This window comes from Homo sapiens, chromosome 10 (assembly GCF_000001405.40).
Source record: "Homo sapiens chromosome 10, GRCh38.p14 Primary Assembly".
NCBI lineage: Eukaryota > Metazoa > Chordata > Mammalia > Primates > Hominidae > Homo > Homo sapiens.
The window spans coordinates 101416675-101433416 of record NC_000010.11 but is presented as its reverse complement, the minus strand read 5'-3'; the positions used below and the strand labels follow the sequence as shown (position 1 = coordinate 101433416).

Below are 16742 nucleotides of genomic sequence, written 5' to 3'. Positions count from 1 at the left end.
TCTTTACCTCAAACTTCAGGTTAGATTGGGTCCCCCTTTTATATATTCTTACAGCTCCTTGAACATTCCCTTCCTAGAATTTATCAGCTTGGGAGATTACACTTTCAGAATTATGTGATTTAATAGCTCTCAATCATTTCACAAAATAGAAATATAATAAACATCTATATATGTATGTAAAGTATTCAACACAATGTTGCCAAATACCCAAGATCAATAGTTCTCATCAGATTCCCAAAGAGATCCATGACCCCTGTGTAGTGAAGAATTACTCTTCACCAAAGAAAGGAATGGCCTTTCCTCTTGGCTACTGGAAAGCGGTCTCTGGGCCCCTGGAACTTCTTGTCTGGTGAGAGTATCTCTGCTTGCCTGAGAGATTTAGCGACTGGACAAATGTGATTCATGTTGGGGGCACTAAACCATACCTATAAGTTTCAACACCAGGAGGAAATAAGAGACTAGAAGTCAGCCATGTGAGCAGTATGTGATAGAGCCCCAGTGAATACCTGGACACCAAAGGCTCAGGTCAATTTCATGGTTGGTAATACTCTGTGAGTATTGTCACACACTGCGGCTGGGAGGCAGTAATGCCATCCATGACTCCATGGGGAGAGGATGACAGGAAGTTCTACAATTGGATCCTTCCGAGATTCTGCCCTATGTGTCTCTTCTTTTGGCTAATTTTAACCTGTGTCCTTTTCCTGTAATAAACTGTGAGTATAATTGTTTTCAGTGAATTCTAAGTCCTTTCTAGCAAGTTATCAAACCTAAGAGTGGTTGTGGGGGCCTCTAAACATGAAACTAGTTTCTGAAGTAGGAGCAGCCTTTTAGGCACTACAATTCCCTCAGACTTTGCAGATCGCCTAAACTAACTGCAACCCCGAAAAGGTTAAAAAACAAAACAAAACAAAAAAACCAACAAACTAGACTATGGATTCTTCAATGGCAGAACCTTGTCAGTATGATATGTAGTTAAAAATATAGGATATAGCCAAGTGCAGTGGCTCACATCTGTAATCCCAGCACTTTGGGAGGCTGAGGCAGGCAGATCACTTGAGCTGGGGAGTTCGATACCAGCCTGGACAACATGGTGAAACCCTATCTCCACAAAAAAAATAGAAAAATGAGCCAAGTGTGGTCGTGTGCCTGTAGTCTCAGCTACCCGGAAGTTTGAGGTAGGAGGGCAACTAGAGCCCAGTAGGCAGAGGTTGCTGTGAGTCGAGATTGTGCCACTGCACTCTAGCCTGGACAACAGAGCAAGACTGTCTCAAAAAAAAAAAAAGGAAAAAAAAGATATTTCACTTTGAAATAAATAAGCAGTCTCAGGATATCAATTACTCTCCAATAATAGCAATAATGTTTATAACGATCATGATAAAAGCAGCTACCATCACTGCATGCCCTTACTATAGTATCCATTTACAGATAAGGAAATAAGTTCAGGATCATACCACTAGTGACAAAGACAATATTCAAGACTTGATTTAGCTAATTTTAGAACCTGCATGCTTTACTATATTGTATCTCATAGTATAAGCCAAGGAAGTTTAATATTAAATTTTGTAAAGGAAAACTGAAAATCTTAAGATATTAAATTTTGTAAAGGAAAAATGAAAATATCCAGCTTTATGATCACTAAATAGTATCATTAAAAATTAACAACTCTTAGCATAGGTTAGGAATGTGGAAAACCTAAGTTCCCCTCTTTTAGCTAAAATTTAGTCACAAGCCTTCTGACACTTACAGCCTATCTTTGAAATTCTTCTAAATAGATATGAACAACAGGTTAAAAGCAGGCAAATATTAATATAAAAACTAATTTGTTGTGTATTACTATAAAATGCTAAACACAAATTCCAAATACCTGAGGTACGCAGATAAGACTCAGTCAAGAAAACAATCATGTATGGTACCCTAATCTGTAAGCAATGAGCACCAAACTCTTTCCTACGTTTTTGTCTACAATTTTCCACATTATTTCTCTATAAGTTTCTCGCACATCCTGGAACTGACATCCTGGCCTCTAAGAAAGGCTGAGGGGTCTGTGTGCGGTGGTTCTTGCCTGTAATTCCAGCACTTTGGGAAGCCGAGATGGGTGGATTACCTGAGGTCAGGAGTTCGAGACCAGCCTGGCCAACATGGTGAAACCCAGTCTCTACTAAAAATACAAAAATTAGCCAGGCGTGGTGGCGCGTAACTGTAATCCCAACTACTCAGGAGGCTGAGGCAGGAGAATTGCTTGAACCCAGGAGGCGCAGGATGCAGTGAGCTGAGATCACGCCACTGCACTCCAGCTTGCGCCATGAAGCAAGACTCCGTCTCAAAAAAAAAAAAAAAAAAAAAAAAGAAAGGCTGAGGGGAACTGGAATCTGTTAATTCATGAAACACTAGCTAGAGTGTCTCAAGGTGAATACTGTACCTAAAGGTCTCAAAGGTTTTTCCACCTAGAAATTAGAAATGTTAATCAAGATATAAATAAAACAGTTATAAAAAATATATACTTAGTAGTATAATTACCAGGAGATACTCTGAAGAGGGCACTTTATACTTTGAGTAATCATTTAAAAAAAATAAGAAAATGTTCAGGAAACTGATTGTAATTAATTGATTGATTATACTAATTGGCTTTATGTAGGTCCAGAGCAAATATTACGTATTGAACTGCTATTTATTGAGATTACTTTAAAATCTACTATCATACTTCTACTTGATCTGAAAGCCAACAGTCAAGCTGTACTATGTCAATTTTTGTAACCAATCATGATGACATTGTCTTAAGAGTGGATCAGTCTGGGTCTACATTATAAACTAATCATTAAAGGAGTACTGAGTGATGTGAGATACAGGCAATATGAAGGAGAAAAGATGAATATAAGTAAAGTATGGGAAAGGAGGAGGCACATACTAATGAATTAGACACATACACTAATGCCCGCAAATAACCCACAGAGACAGAGAAAGTACCTGGAAAGCTGTGAGTGCGCCAGTCCCTGGGTTATACAGGCATCGCAGCGAAGGCATGCTGTCCGCCAGGCTGGAGCAGCCCAGCCACAGAGACCTGGGCATAGAGCACTGCAGAGAGAGGACAACTATGAGATGGGACAGTATGAGACAGGATGGCACAGATTACAGGAATTTTTAAGGCTTGGCTGAACGCAATATTCCAGTTGCAGCTGACCTTTATGATAGAAACATCTTTAAGAAACACACTACTTACTGGCTTTAACCCCAGAGAGAATCCCAAAAGGGGCAGTAGTGGCCAAAAGGAAAGGAGGTAAAAAAAGAAGTTATCGTTCAAAAAACCAAACATTTAGTCAAAAACATTTTGTCCCTATTCTTCTATGTATCAGTCTAAAGGAAATCTACTTCTTAATCCAGTTGATCAATTATTTTCCTCTATGCACCTCAACTCAGCTCCCATAAACTCACCACAGGGTGTAATACTGTGCAGACTAAGCAGAAAGAGGAGGAGTTCACAGAAACATTACAATATTAGGAATGGTAAATTAGAAAACAAAACACCACAGTTAAGAGAGTTTTTTTTTTTTTTAGAAGGAAAAGAAAAAGTATTGTATCCCTACGGCTTTGACAGCAACAAACTCTGCACAGTTTGCGTATGTTTTATGTATCTTGTTAGTCTGCTATTCATTAACCAAAATGCACAGTTACCATAGCAGCTGCCTCTTCATCTTTCCAGATGGATTGGGGTCTGTGGGGGGTGGGGGGTATAAGGCGAGGGGAAGAAACAACCCAAACAGAAGGGAAAACAACAACAAAGAGAGACAGGGACACAGAGAGAGAGAAAGGAGAGACAGAGAAAAAGGAGAGAGAAAAGAGAGAGAAAGGAGAGAGAGAGAAGAAGAAGAAAAAGGAGGAGGAGGAGGAGGAGGAAGGGAGGGAGGGGAGGGGGGGAGGGGAGAGGAAGAGGAAGAAGACGACACCTAGAAAGCTGTTGGTATTAAAACCTTCTAAACAAACAAACAAAAATACCTAAGAATGTACATATATATAATACATATGGTATATTCAGTAGTCAAAAAAGGTAGAAATTACACATTTCTAGTAGCTCTAAGTAACTGACATTAGTATTATTGCAGCTACAGCTTTGTAAGAAAGAAACCATACTTTTCAAAACTATTTTTATATTCTTCATGTTTCTCTAAAAGTATCCCAGGATGAAATTTTATCCATCAACTTGAGTGCTATTACAGTCTAATAATAACTAAAAAACTAAATACCTAATCATGGCACATATAAAAACAGGGATACATATTTTAAAATATAGTAGTCAATATAGGTAACATTAAACCTTAAAATTACAGACTTTGAAATATTTTATATTGTCATAGACTTTTTTCTCCTTAAAACAATATAGTTGTAGAAAGTAATATTGGGAAACAAAATATGGTATTCACTGTTTACACCATCTAAAATTGATAAATGGACAATGAGAGCCATGCAAGAGGTTTGTGCCTGTGGTCCAAGCTACTCAGAAGACTGAGATGGGTGGATCGCTTGAGCCCAGGAGTTCAAATCCAGCCTGGGCAGCACAGCAAGATCCCGTCTCTTATCTAAATAAAGATAGATAGATAATGGGCTGCAAATAAATCCAAAGGAGATCTATGTATATCCCCTGATTTTAGATTATTATCCTCATTTTATTTACCACCCATAGGACTACGCTTAATACATTATCCTCATTTTATAGGTAAGGTGACTGATGCCCAGGAAAAATTAAGTATTTATCCATGATTATGAATTTACAAAGTAGGGAAGTAGGGACTAGAATCTTGGCCTGTTGCTTTCTAGTGCAGAATTCTTCCTCCTGCCTCCATCCATCCCTCAGTCATAAAGTGGACACTGGGCTTCAAAAGAAGGGTATCTGCTAAAGGCATCACCAGATAACATACCAAGCAAAACAGCTAAACTGCTTTGAATTACTCCAACAATCTCTGAACTTTGTTCACTGTTTTCAACGTTTCCTCACCTCAAGCTACGATCCATTTTATAAACAGCAGCTAAATAGAAAAATAATTGTCTTCACTTTGTTATCATGTCACTCTCATCAATAATTCATGATGAGATATCTACTGTATGAAATCCAAGCACTCTGTCAATCTGACATTTCCCCCACTGCCAACATCAACTCACCTTCTCTAATCTTCTAATTGGCCCTGGCACTCTAGCTAACTACCTACCTTGATATTTTGTTCAAATACTCATCTTACCCCTGTCTTTAAACTTATAATTTCCTTCTCCCTGTCATCCTGCCAATCCATATCGACCATTTACATCAATATCTCCTTAGAATTATGTATACTAATTTCAGTCTCTGCCAGCGGTTCTTAATAGCAGAGATTCTCACATTGGAAGGAGAAGGCAACAGAAAGAGAATGGAGAAAATAGGGTAAAAAAAGCTTCCTTGCTGTTGAGAATCACATTCTACTCATATTACTTCTTTATACGTATTAAGAATGCTTTGCTAATTTTTTAAGTAAATGATACTAAAATTTTCTTAAGGCTAATATTTTAATCATTTATTCAATAAATACTTATTAAATGCTGTTCTGGTAGTAGACACTGTCCTGGAGCCAGATGTGGTGGCTCAATCCTATAATCCCAGCACTTTGGGAGGGCGAGGCAGGTGGATCCCTTGAGCCTAGAAGTTCAAGACCAGCCTCAGTAATGTGGGAGACCCCATCTCTACAAAAAATTTAAAAAATAGCTGGGCATGGTGGCACATGCCTGTGGTCCTAGCTACTTGGGGAGGCTGAGATGGGAGGACTGCTTGAGCCAGGGATATCAGGGCAGCAATGAGCGGTGATCATGCCACTGCACACCAGCCTGGGCAACAAAGCAAGACCCTGTGGAAAGAAAGAAGAAAGAAAAGAAAGTAAGAGAAGAAAGAGAAGAAGGAAGGAAGGAAGGGACCCGTCTCAAAAAAAAAAAAAAAAATCCTTAACATAAAAGTAACTCATTGTTATAAGAAATGCTGTACACAGGCTGGGCACGGTGGCTCACGCCTGTAATCCCAGCACTTTGGGAGGCCAAGGTGGGTGGAACACAAGGTCAAGAGATCAAGACCATCCTGGCCAACACGGTGAAACCCCATCTCTACTAAAAATACAAAAATAAGCTGGGTATGGTGGTGCACGCCTATAGTCCCAGCTACTCAGGAGGCTGAGGCAGGAGAATCGCTTGAACCCGGAAGGCGGAGGTTGCAGTGAGCTGAGATTGTGCCACTGCACTCCAGCCTGGCGACAGAACAAGACTCCGTCTCAAAAAAAAAAAAAAAAAAAAAAAGAAAGAAAAAAGAAATGGAAATGCTGTACATACGCAATTGGTTAAGTTTCTGTGTGTGCTGGGTAGAAAAAAATCTCACAGTCATTCGGAAGGAAAGATTGAATCTGAGAAAAAAGAGAAGTCAGAAGTGGGTGTAAATAAATAGAGCATGAAAACACAGGAAAAGGACAAAGGAAATAGTGGAAGAAAATCGAGGAGGCACTGGAAGGTAGCTTGTCGCTTCTCCTGCTTCCCTTCACAAGAGGGCAGGCGACACTTTTAACCATACTAAAGCCACCTGCATGGCATACAGCAAGCACAGCTGGGTCTAGAAACCAACCAGAACCCTTTCATTCACAGACTTGGGGCTCTTTTTAAAATTAAAATATACATATTTATTTTTGTGAATGCTCCTTGGTAAGTTTTTAAGGCTTTCCTCTTGTGAATGATTTGTCTCCTCCGTTTTACATAAAAATCTGCGTTATTTTTGTAGTATGTACTTGATAAATTATCTGAGTTTACTTACTCGTTCTAACACACTTCCTCATTCATTTATCCCTATCCTCCATCAAAACTACTAACAACAAAGAATTTGAAAGTGCTTACCCCATCCCCTTAAACTAAAATTCCCAAAGAAAATTATAATCAGTAATGAGCCACATACACCCAGGAAAGCCACTAGATATACCGGTGTGATTTCCAAAATAGCATTAATTTGCAAACACCACACAGAGGATGCATTCCCGATTATTACAAGACAATTGGTATGGGTATGAAAACTATACTTGAATATAGTCAGATCTGCACATTACCATAAGATTTTATATATTATGGCTCAATTTAAAAACTAATCTTCAAATTGGTTTGTTTTGTAACAATTAATCTTATCTATACTGGTAAATGCCACTTAACACTGAGAAAAAATATTATTACAAAATAAATGGAGTGGGCTATAACTTTTACTCTACCTGTTTCCCTTCTATCTTCACATTTAGAAGCATTTCGTAAAAGAAGGAGAAAATAGCAAATTTGGGCAATGAGGAACAAAGTGGAAAGGACTGTCATTTTGGTTACTATCCTTATTAAGTCTATACATTTCAGGGCCATTCTGATTGGTCAGTTTCTGACAAATATGTAAGATGTTTTCTGTCCTTCAACATTTAATAAATAATGCCCTTTAAAATTTACCTTTAAAATACCTGAAAAGCACATAGTTTTCTACTTAAAGTTTGGACTGTTTTTGTTGTTTTTCCTTGCAAATTATATTTAAATTCCTAAAATTTTCTTTCTATACTTAATTTTTTTTCCCTTTCTTTCCTTTTATTGAGACAGAGTCTCACTCTCTTGCCCAGGCTGGAGTGCAGTGGCACGATCACAGCTCACTGCACCCTTGACCTCCTGGACTTAAGCAATCCTTCTGCCTCAGCCTGCCCAGTAGCTGGGACTACAGGCGTGCACCACCACGCCTGGCTAAAAAACATTTTTTTTAATTAAAAAAAAAAAAAAAAGCAGGTTTTAAACTAAGCAGCAACTACGCATTCTCCTGTTTAAATATTTACCTTCTGTTAACTGTTAAATAACTTGCAAATCACCTACTCCTTACATGCAGTCTCAAAAGCTATGACAAAGTTAACAGATAATGACTGCATCCTACACAAATCCAGCCCTGCACAGCACATATTAGTTTCTTCAGCTCAGTTCCCACCTAACGTCACCCCAATTGACTCTCCTTTGCAAAATCAAAGAAAGTTGAAGAGTATAACAATGTATTATAATTGTTGTTATCCAACTGAATGACTTCACTAGCCTTTAAAAAGCATACACAGCACAGAAAAAAATAAGACTGAACATGTTTTCTACTACCTGAATCAGAAAAAAAATTGAAATGCTGCAATGCGATAGTAAAGACACAGAATCAACCCAGGTACCCATCAACGGAAGACTGGATAAAGAAAATGCAGTACACATATACCATGGAATACTAAGTAGCCATAAAAAATAATGAAATCATGTCCTCTGCAGAACATGGATGCAGCTAGAAGCCATTATCCTAAGCGAACTAATGCAGAAACAGAAAACCAAATGCCACATTTTCTCACTTATACATAGGAACAAAACCTTGAGTACACATGGACATAAAGAAGGGAACAGACACTGAGGAATACAAAAGGTGGGAGGACAAAGGGGGTAAAGCTTGAAAAAACTACCTATGGGTACTTTGCACTCTCTACCTGGGTGAGATTCACTCAGACTCCAAACCTCAGCATCGTGCAGTATATCTCTGTAACAAACCTGCACATATACCCCAATTTTAAAATAAAAGTTGAAAAAACAAGATTGCAATGAAGGGCCTCCAGTGCTTCAAGAAGAATATAGTATCTAGTGCCCATCAGGTTCAATGGCACAATTCATTTACACAGAGAACACTGAAAATCTCAACTCTTCCCCCTACACTTGGCTGTCTGGAGTAATGTCACAGATCCTCTTCACTGATAGCCCTGCAGGCAAAGGGCTAGCCTCAGCATTTACTATACGAAAGCTGAATGACAAAATCTCCTAAATTAAGGTCCCTGTTGGTCAACTTCTAGGAGTAACAGAAGCTATAATAATCAACAATAAAAAGATTGCTGTACTGAGAGTTTACGTATCCTTAAGCCATGGAATAGAAGAATTCCCTTTTCACTACTATATCAACTAAGAAATTCAGAGAAATGCAGTATACCATAATCATGTAATACATTCAGACTTTACCTACAAATCCAATGATTGCCTCTTAAGAATCCCAATTTAGTTCACTCCAAAAACAAAACTCCCACCTGTCAGATAGGATAATCATATCTGCCCAGCCTTATTGCACAAGGTTGTGGTAAAACTAAAACAAGGATTCTTTTTTTTTCTTTGAGACAGAGTTTTACTTTTGTTGCCCAGGTTGGAGTGCAATGCCATGATCTCGGCTCACTGCAACCTCCGCCTCCCAGGTTCAAGTGATTTTCCTGACTAAGCCTCCTGAGTAGCTGGGACTGCCGGCATGCACCACCACGCCTGACTAATTTTTGTATTTTTGGTAGAGACAGGCAGGGTTTCTCCATGTTAGCCAGGCTGGTCTCGAACTCCTGAACTCAGGTGATCCACCTGCCTTGGCCTCCCAAAGTGCTGGGATTACAGGCACGAGCCACCTCACCCGGCTAAAATAAGGATTCTAAAAGCTGCAAAGTGCAAAAGAAAAAAATATAAATGGCATCATCACCAGGAATAGGCTTCTGTGAATGCCACTTGCATTTCAAACTGTTCTGGGAAGCCATTTATTTTTTCATTACCAAAGTGGGCACAGGTGGAGTACAAAAAGAGGATAAGTAAAGTTTACCGGGAATAAACTGTCTGCCAGGCATTGTACTAGATCCCTTAAGTACATTATTTCATTTAAGCATTACCTTCTTGTCAAAGAATTATTAGTACTTTTGCCTTAACAAGAGAGTACACTCAAGTTCAGTGAAGTTATAGTGCCTAAATGACAATGGCAGAAATAATACTCAAATGTGTTTGTCTCCACAAATCCACAGACTCAAGTAGTTTACACTCTATTTCAAGGAGATAAACTACTAACAAATAGTAACTACAAGAAAAAATTTAACAATGTACTAAATTGCATTAGACAACAGCTACTATAAGTTTAGGTAAATTTTCAAATATTTAGAAAAGCTCAGTCACAGACTTTAATTTTATTGTAGCACTTGTTACTATATGTATAACAAACTAACAAGCTGCATCTGTATAACATTCTCTGTATAACAAACTAACAAGCTTTGTTAGTTAGCTTTGTCAGTCTAACAATTCATTGTTTGGCAATGAATTGCGGAACAAGCTCTTCCCCAATTCATTCACCTGTATAATAAACTAGTAAGGTAAATAAGACCCAGAGAGGGTCAGGCAAGGTGGCTCATGTGTATAATCCCACCACTTTGGGAGGCCAAGGTGGGAGGACTGCTTGAGACCAGGAGTTCAAGACCAGCCTGGTCAACATAACTAGACCCCATCTCTATTTTTATGAAAAACTGGAAAATAAAAAAAATTTAACTTAATTAAAAAAAACTCATGGATAGGAAGAATCAATATCAATACCAATGACTTTCTTCACAGAATTGGAAAAAACTACTTTAAAGTTCATATGGAACCAAAAAAGAGCCCGCATTGCCAAGTCAATCCTAAGCCAAAAGAACAAAGCTGGAGGCATCATGCTACCTGACTTCAAACTATACTACAAGGCAACAGTAACCAAAACGGCATGGTACTGGTACCAAAACAGAGATATAGACCAATGGAACAGAACAGAGCCCTCAGAAATAATAACACACATCTACAACTATCTGATCTTTGACAAACCTGACAAAAACAAGAAATGGGGAAAGGATTCCCTATTTAATAAATGGTGCTGGGAAAACTGGCTAGCCATATATAGAAAGCTGAAACTGGATCTCTTCCTTACACCTTACACAAAAATTAATTCAAGGTGGAGTAAAGACTTAAATGTTAGACCTAAAACCATAAAAACCCTAGAAGAAAACCTAGGCAATACCATTCAGGACATAGGCATGGGCAAGGACTTCATGTCTAAAACACCAAAAGCCATAGCAACAAAAGCCAAAATTGACAAATGGGATCTAATTAAACTAAAGAGCTGCACAGCAAAAGAAACTACCATCAGAGTGAACAGGCAACCTACAGAATGGAAGAAAATTTTTGCAATCTACTCCTCTGACAAAGGGCTAATATCCAGAATCTACAAAGAACTCAAACAAATTTACAAGAAAAAAACAAACAACCCCATCAACAAGTGGGTGAAGGATATGAACAGACACTTCTCAGAAGAAGACATTTATGCAGCCAACAGACACATGAAAAAATGCTCATCATCACTGGCCATCAGAGAAATGCAAATCAAAACCACAATGAGATACCATCTCACGCCAGTTAGAATGGTGATCATTAAAAAGTCAGGAAACAACAGGTGCTGGAGAGGATGTGGAGAAGAGGAACACTTTTACACTGTTGGTGGGACTGTAAACTAGTTCAACCATTGTGGAAGACAGTGTGGCAATTCCTCAGGGATCTAGAACTAGAAATACCATTTGACCCAGCCATCCCATTACTGGGTATATACCCAGAGGATTATAAATCATGCTGCTCTAAAGACACATGCACACGTATGTTTACTGTGGCACTATTCACAATAGCAAAGACTTGGAACCAACCCAAATGTCCAACAATGATAGACTGGATTAAGAAAATGTGGCACATATACACCATGGAATAGTAGCCAGCCATAAAAAAGGATAAGTTCATGCCCTTTGTAGGGACATGGATGAAGCTGGAAACCATCATTCTCAGCAAACTATCACAAGGACAAAAAACCAAACACTGCACGTTCTCACTCTTGGTGGGAATTGAACAATGAAAACACTTGGACACAGAAGAGGAACATCACACATCAGGGCCTGTTGTGGGGTGGGGGGAGGGGGGAGGGGGGAGGGATAGCATTAGGAGATATACCTAATGTAAATGACGAGTTAATGGGTGCAGCACACCAACATGGCACATGTATACATATGTAACAAACCTGCACGTTGTGCACATGTACCCTAGAACTTAAAGTATAATAAAATAAAAATAAACAGACCCAGGGAGGTTAAATAAATTACACGTTGATGAGTAGTTAGTAAGCAACAAAGATGGGAGTCAAAACTAGATATTCTGACTATCTAGAATAGTGTTACATTAAAATGGCACTTTAAAAGTTAAACATGGAGTTACTTCACTCATTAAGAAATGGGAAGCCAAAATGGTTTAGGGGCACAGGAATGACTACACAAACTAAATAAAGAAATCGCACCCAAGAGGTTATTATATTCATTAAAGTAATGGCCATGGAGAAGATAACGTACATCAAAAGAAGGATCAACAGGACTGGATAACTGATCATAAGGAAAAATGAATTAACTTCAACATTTCAAACTTGAATGACTAGAAGAACAGTAGTGGTAGTGACAGACACTGGTAAACTGAAACTCGTTTGGAGGGTGCAGGGAGTAACCAAGTTCAGAAATCATGAATCTGATGTGATAGTAAACCTCTATCTAGTATGTAAGAAAAATATGGCATGAAAATATGAGTATAAACCTGTAGCGATTACAGAGATGTGGGAGTAACTGACTTCTATGTAAGTAATAACAAACTAAGTTAAAAGCATTTGTTGTAAAAATACCAGTGAGTTTTTCAAAAATAAAATTTAACTGATACCTCTCCCTCTTCTCCTTTCCTACCTGAACAGTTCAATAGGTGAGTACAGGCAAAGGAGGCATCAAGCTAAGTGGCAGAGAGTTGACTACAGTGGCCCAAAACAGGCTTTTGGAGTCCAAGTAGTAGGAAAAGGGTATTCCCGAGAGGGAAAAGGACAGGGCACAGAGTTTCAGGGACTAAGCAGAGTGATAGGAAAAAATCTGCTGGGAGGGGGACCCAGCATGAGGTGACAGAGCCCTAATGGAACAAGGAAGGCTACCACGTAGGAACTGTAACAGCAGTGAGCAGAATGATGAGGATGTCCACATCCACACAGGGCAGTGGAGGGTGGGGGGATGGCAGTGAGGGTTGCCCATGTCGGCAGAAGAAGGCATGCATTAAGAGAGGGAGAGGCAGTGGTCCAGCAGTGAGTTTCAGACCCAGTGGAGTGAGGAGGGTGGAAGGGGCAGCCAAGTGCAAGCTGTCGGATCCCAAAAGGGTGAGGGAGGCATGCATATGAAGTATGGGGTGAGAAATGGAGCGAGAGATATGTCAGCAACAGGAGATGGATTATACAGGAAGATTGATCAAATAAAGGTGGCAGATCAAATACAAAGGATAATAAGAGCTAGGTTTCTCATAATCAGAAAAACAAGTTACAAGTATAGAAAGAAAGAAAACTAGAATGAATATTACATTGCTGAACTAGAATTGAGGATGTTGTTGTAAGCTGAAATCTTACAATGTATTACACCGAGAAATTCCTAGGTAAATAATATATTCATGATATATATATATATATGTACACATATACCCACAGACACACACAGACTGACTACCAACTGAGAGGGCCTAGGAGCAACCTAATAGCAACAAACACATTTAATGATTCAAAATATCACTCTCCACTAAAAGGAACCAGAGCTCCTTAGAACAATGCGAGGGCTTGGACAGGAAAGTTTAAGAGGAGCTTGGAATATCTTCTTGAGGTGCTCAATGAATGACAGAGACATGTCAAAATAATACAGGGGCCAGAGTGAAAGACTGAGGCAGGCTACATTTGAGAAAATTAGAATATCAAACTAAATAATGATAATAATGGATAACGGTAGCAGGCAAACTCTAACATGCCCCCCGATGTTTCCCACCGCTTGGTATGCATGCCCTTGGTAAAGGTGATGTGATGCCATTTTCCTAATTAGGTTAAGACTGCAACTTCCATCTTGCTAACAGACTCTATTGCCTTCTTGGTTTGCACGCTTTGATGAAACAAGCAGTCATACTGTAGATGTCCCCATGGCACAGACCTGGCGGTGACCCAGTCAACAAACAACTAAGAATTGAGGCTCAGTCCAACAGCCCTTGAAGAAAAGAATTCCACCACCACCAACAACAATAAGCTTGGAAGTGGCTTTTTCTCGAAATAAAACCTTCAAATGAGACCTCAGCCCTAGACACCACCTTGATTATGGCCTTGTGAGAGAGATTCTAAAGCAGAAGGCCCAGGTCAGCTGTGCCCAGACTCCTGATTGAAAGAAACTGTGAGGTACTGGCCAGACGAAGTGGTTCACACCTGTAATCCCAGCACTTTGGGAGGCCGACGTGGGTGGATCGCCTGAGGTCAGGAGTTCGAGACCAGCCTGGTCAACATGGTGAAACCCTGTCTCTACTAAAAATATAAAAATTAGCCAGGCATGGTGGTGTGTGCCTATAATTCCAGCTACTCCAGAGGCTGAGGCAGGAGAATTGCCAGAACCTGGGAGGCAGAGGTTGCAGTGAGCCAAGATCGTGCCACTGCACTCCAGCCTGGGTGACAGAGCGAGACTCTGTATCAAAAAAAAAAAAAAGAAAGAAAGAAAGAAAAGAAACTGTGAGATGTTACATGTATGCTAGGTTACAGATATGTTAATTAGCTTGATTGAGACAAGCATTTTACAATGAATATGTATATGAAAACAACATGTTGTACACCTTAAATGTAATTTTTGTTTGCCAGGAGGGCGGGTCAGGGGAGAGCATTAGGGAAAAGAGCTGATGCATGCTGGGCTTGATACCTAGGTGATGGGTTGATAGGTGCAACAAAACACCATGGCATGTTTACCTACGTACCAAACCTGCACATCCTGCACATGTACCCCAGAATAAAAAAATAATAATAATAATAATTTTTGTTTGCCAATTATACAGCAATACAGCCAGGGAGAAAAAATATAAACATATATATGTTTGGCAAAAAAAAAGCAGATGTGAGAAAATTCTAGAAGAGGTCTAAACTATTGCCAAGGTATATCATGCTGTCATTTTGGGAGGTGGCACTCTGAAATACTGGAGCTCATAAAAATTTATTGAAAATAAGTATTAAGTATTCATTTTTCTATATATTTTTGAAAAATTTAATATTGTAATAACTATTCGCCATTTAAAGTTTAAATACAACTCACTTGTAAATCACCCCCCCAAAAAAATATAAATGTCTGTGTTTTTGTTTTTTTTTGAGACAGAGTCTTGCTCTGTCACCCAGGCTGGAGTGCAGTGGCACAATATTGGCTCACTGCAACCTCCGCCTCTCAGGTTCAAGCGATTCTCCTGCCTCAGCCTCCTGAGTAGCTGGGACTACAGGCACCCGCCACCACACCCAGCTAATTTTTTGTATTTTTAGTAGAGATGGAGTTTCACCATATTGGCCAGGCTGGTCTTGAACTCCTGGCCTCAAATGACCCACCTGCCTCGGCCTCTCAAAGTGCTGGGATTACTGGTGTGAGCCACTGTGCCCAGCCTAAATGTATGTGTTATTATAAGCCACTCAATTTGAGGTAATTTGTTATGTAATAATAGATAACTAATAAAATAAGCCACTGAATAAAGTTGAAATCTATGACTCCATTAATGACATAAAAAATAAACTGGGGACAAGTGTGGTGGGTCACACCTGTAACCCAGCAGATTGCCTGAGGCCAAGAATTAGAGACCAGTCAGAGCAACATTTTGAGATCCTGCCTCTACAAAAAGAATTAACAGGAAAAAAAGAAGCCATGGTGACACGCATCTGTAGTTCCAGCTACTTGGGAGACTGAGCAGGAAGATCACTTGAGCCCAGGAGTTACAATGAGGATCACGCCACTGCACTCCACCCTGAGTGAAAGAACAAGACCCTATCTCTAAAATGAAATAAAATAAAATGAAACAAAATATAAACTGTAAGTTTGATAAGGAGGAGGATACTTAAATAGTCTCAAAATACCTCCCCACAAAATACTACTTCGTTTTAATTGGAAAAATATAAAGTTAATTCTATAGTGGGAAAAAAACCCTGATATCTTAATCAAGTAATCAACATTAATATCACTAATATTGGAAGAAATTCACATTATGTGTCACCTGATACTATTCAATAAAAACACAACATCACCTCTGTGATATTCCTGTCGAAGATACCTAATTTGGATCTAATCATGAGAATACATCAGAAAAACCCAATTTGAAAAATGTTCTGCAAGATACTGGCGTGTAATCCTCAAAAATGTCAATGTTATGAAAGCCAAGGAAAGACTGAAGAACTGTTCCAGAGTAAACGAGACTAAAGAGGTATGACTACTAAATGTATCATGTGATCCTGAACTAGATATTTATTCTATTATATAAAGGACATTGACTGAGATTACTAGAGAAACTTGAATGGGATCTGTGGATTAGATGACAAAATAATATGCCAATAATAATTTCCTTAATTCTGATGGTTGTTATTGGGTTATATGGGAGAATGTTCTGGTTTGCAGGAAATACACAGAGAATTCAGAGGTGATGGGACATCATGTCAGAACCTTATTCTCAAGTGGTTTATGAAAAAAAAACAATTTGCATTTTACTTACAACTCTTCTGTAGTTTGAGAATGTTTAAAAATAAAACATGGAATATAAATTAATAAAAATACATACTGGGATTTTGCTTTTGGTCATAATGTAGTAATTATTATCAGACTAAATTTCATGCAGAAAATTATAGAAGCTAAATAAAATATAGAAAATGGAAGCCATGAGAGAGAGAACAACTAATACAGCCAAAACTTTAGGGGCAAAGATCCTAGGCAGAAGGGAAATGCATTACGGTTAACCTGATATTCTGGGTATAATTTTTCCCCTACGGCATTTCCTGACTCCTAAATTTTACACGCAGAGAGTAAGATGCT

General features: G+C 38.9%; 1 protein-coding gene across 12 annotated transcripts in view; it reads right to left on the bottom strand.

Moving 5' to 3' along the window:
- BTRC (beta-transducin repeat containing E3 ubiquitin protein ligase) overlaps positions 1-16742 on the bottom strand; it is a 203266-nt gene that overhangs the window by 123897 nt on the left and 62627 nt on the right. For 9 of the 12 annotated variants that reach the window (XM_006718054.3, XM_017016870.2, NM_033637.4 and 6 more), the window contains exon 2: positions 2965-3072. The exons of the other annotated variants lie outside the window; for them this stretch is intronic. In XM_006718054.3, the coding sequence (XP_006718117.1) occupies positions 2965-3072 (108 nt within the window). The remainder of the gene's footprint in view (positions 1-2964; positions 3073-16742) is intronic. 12 annotated transcript variants of the gene reach the window in all.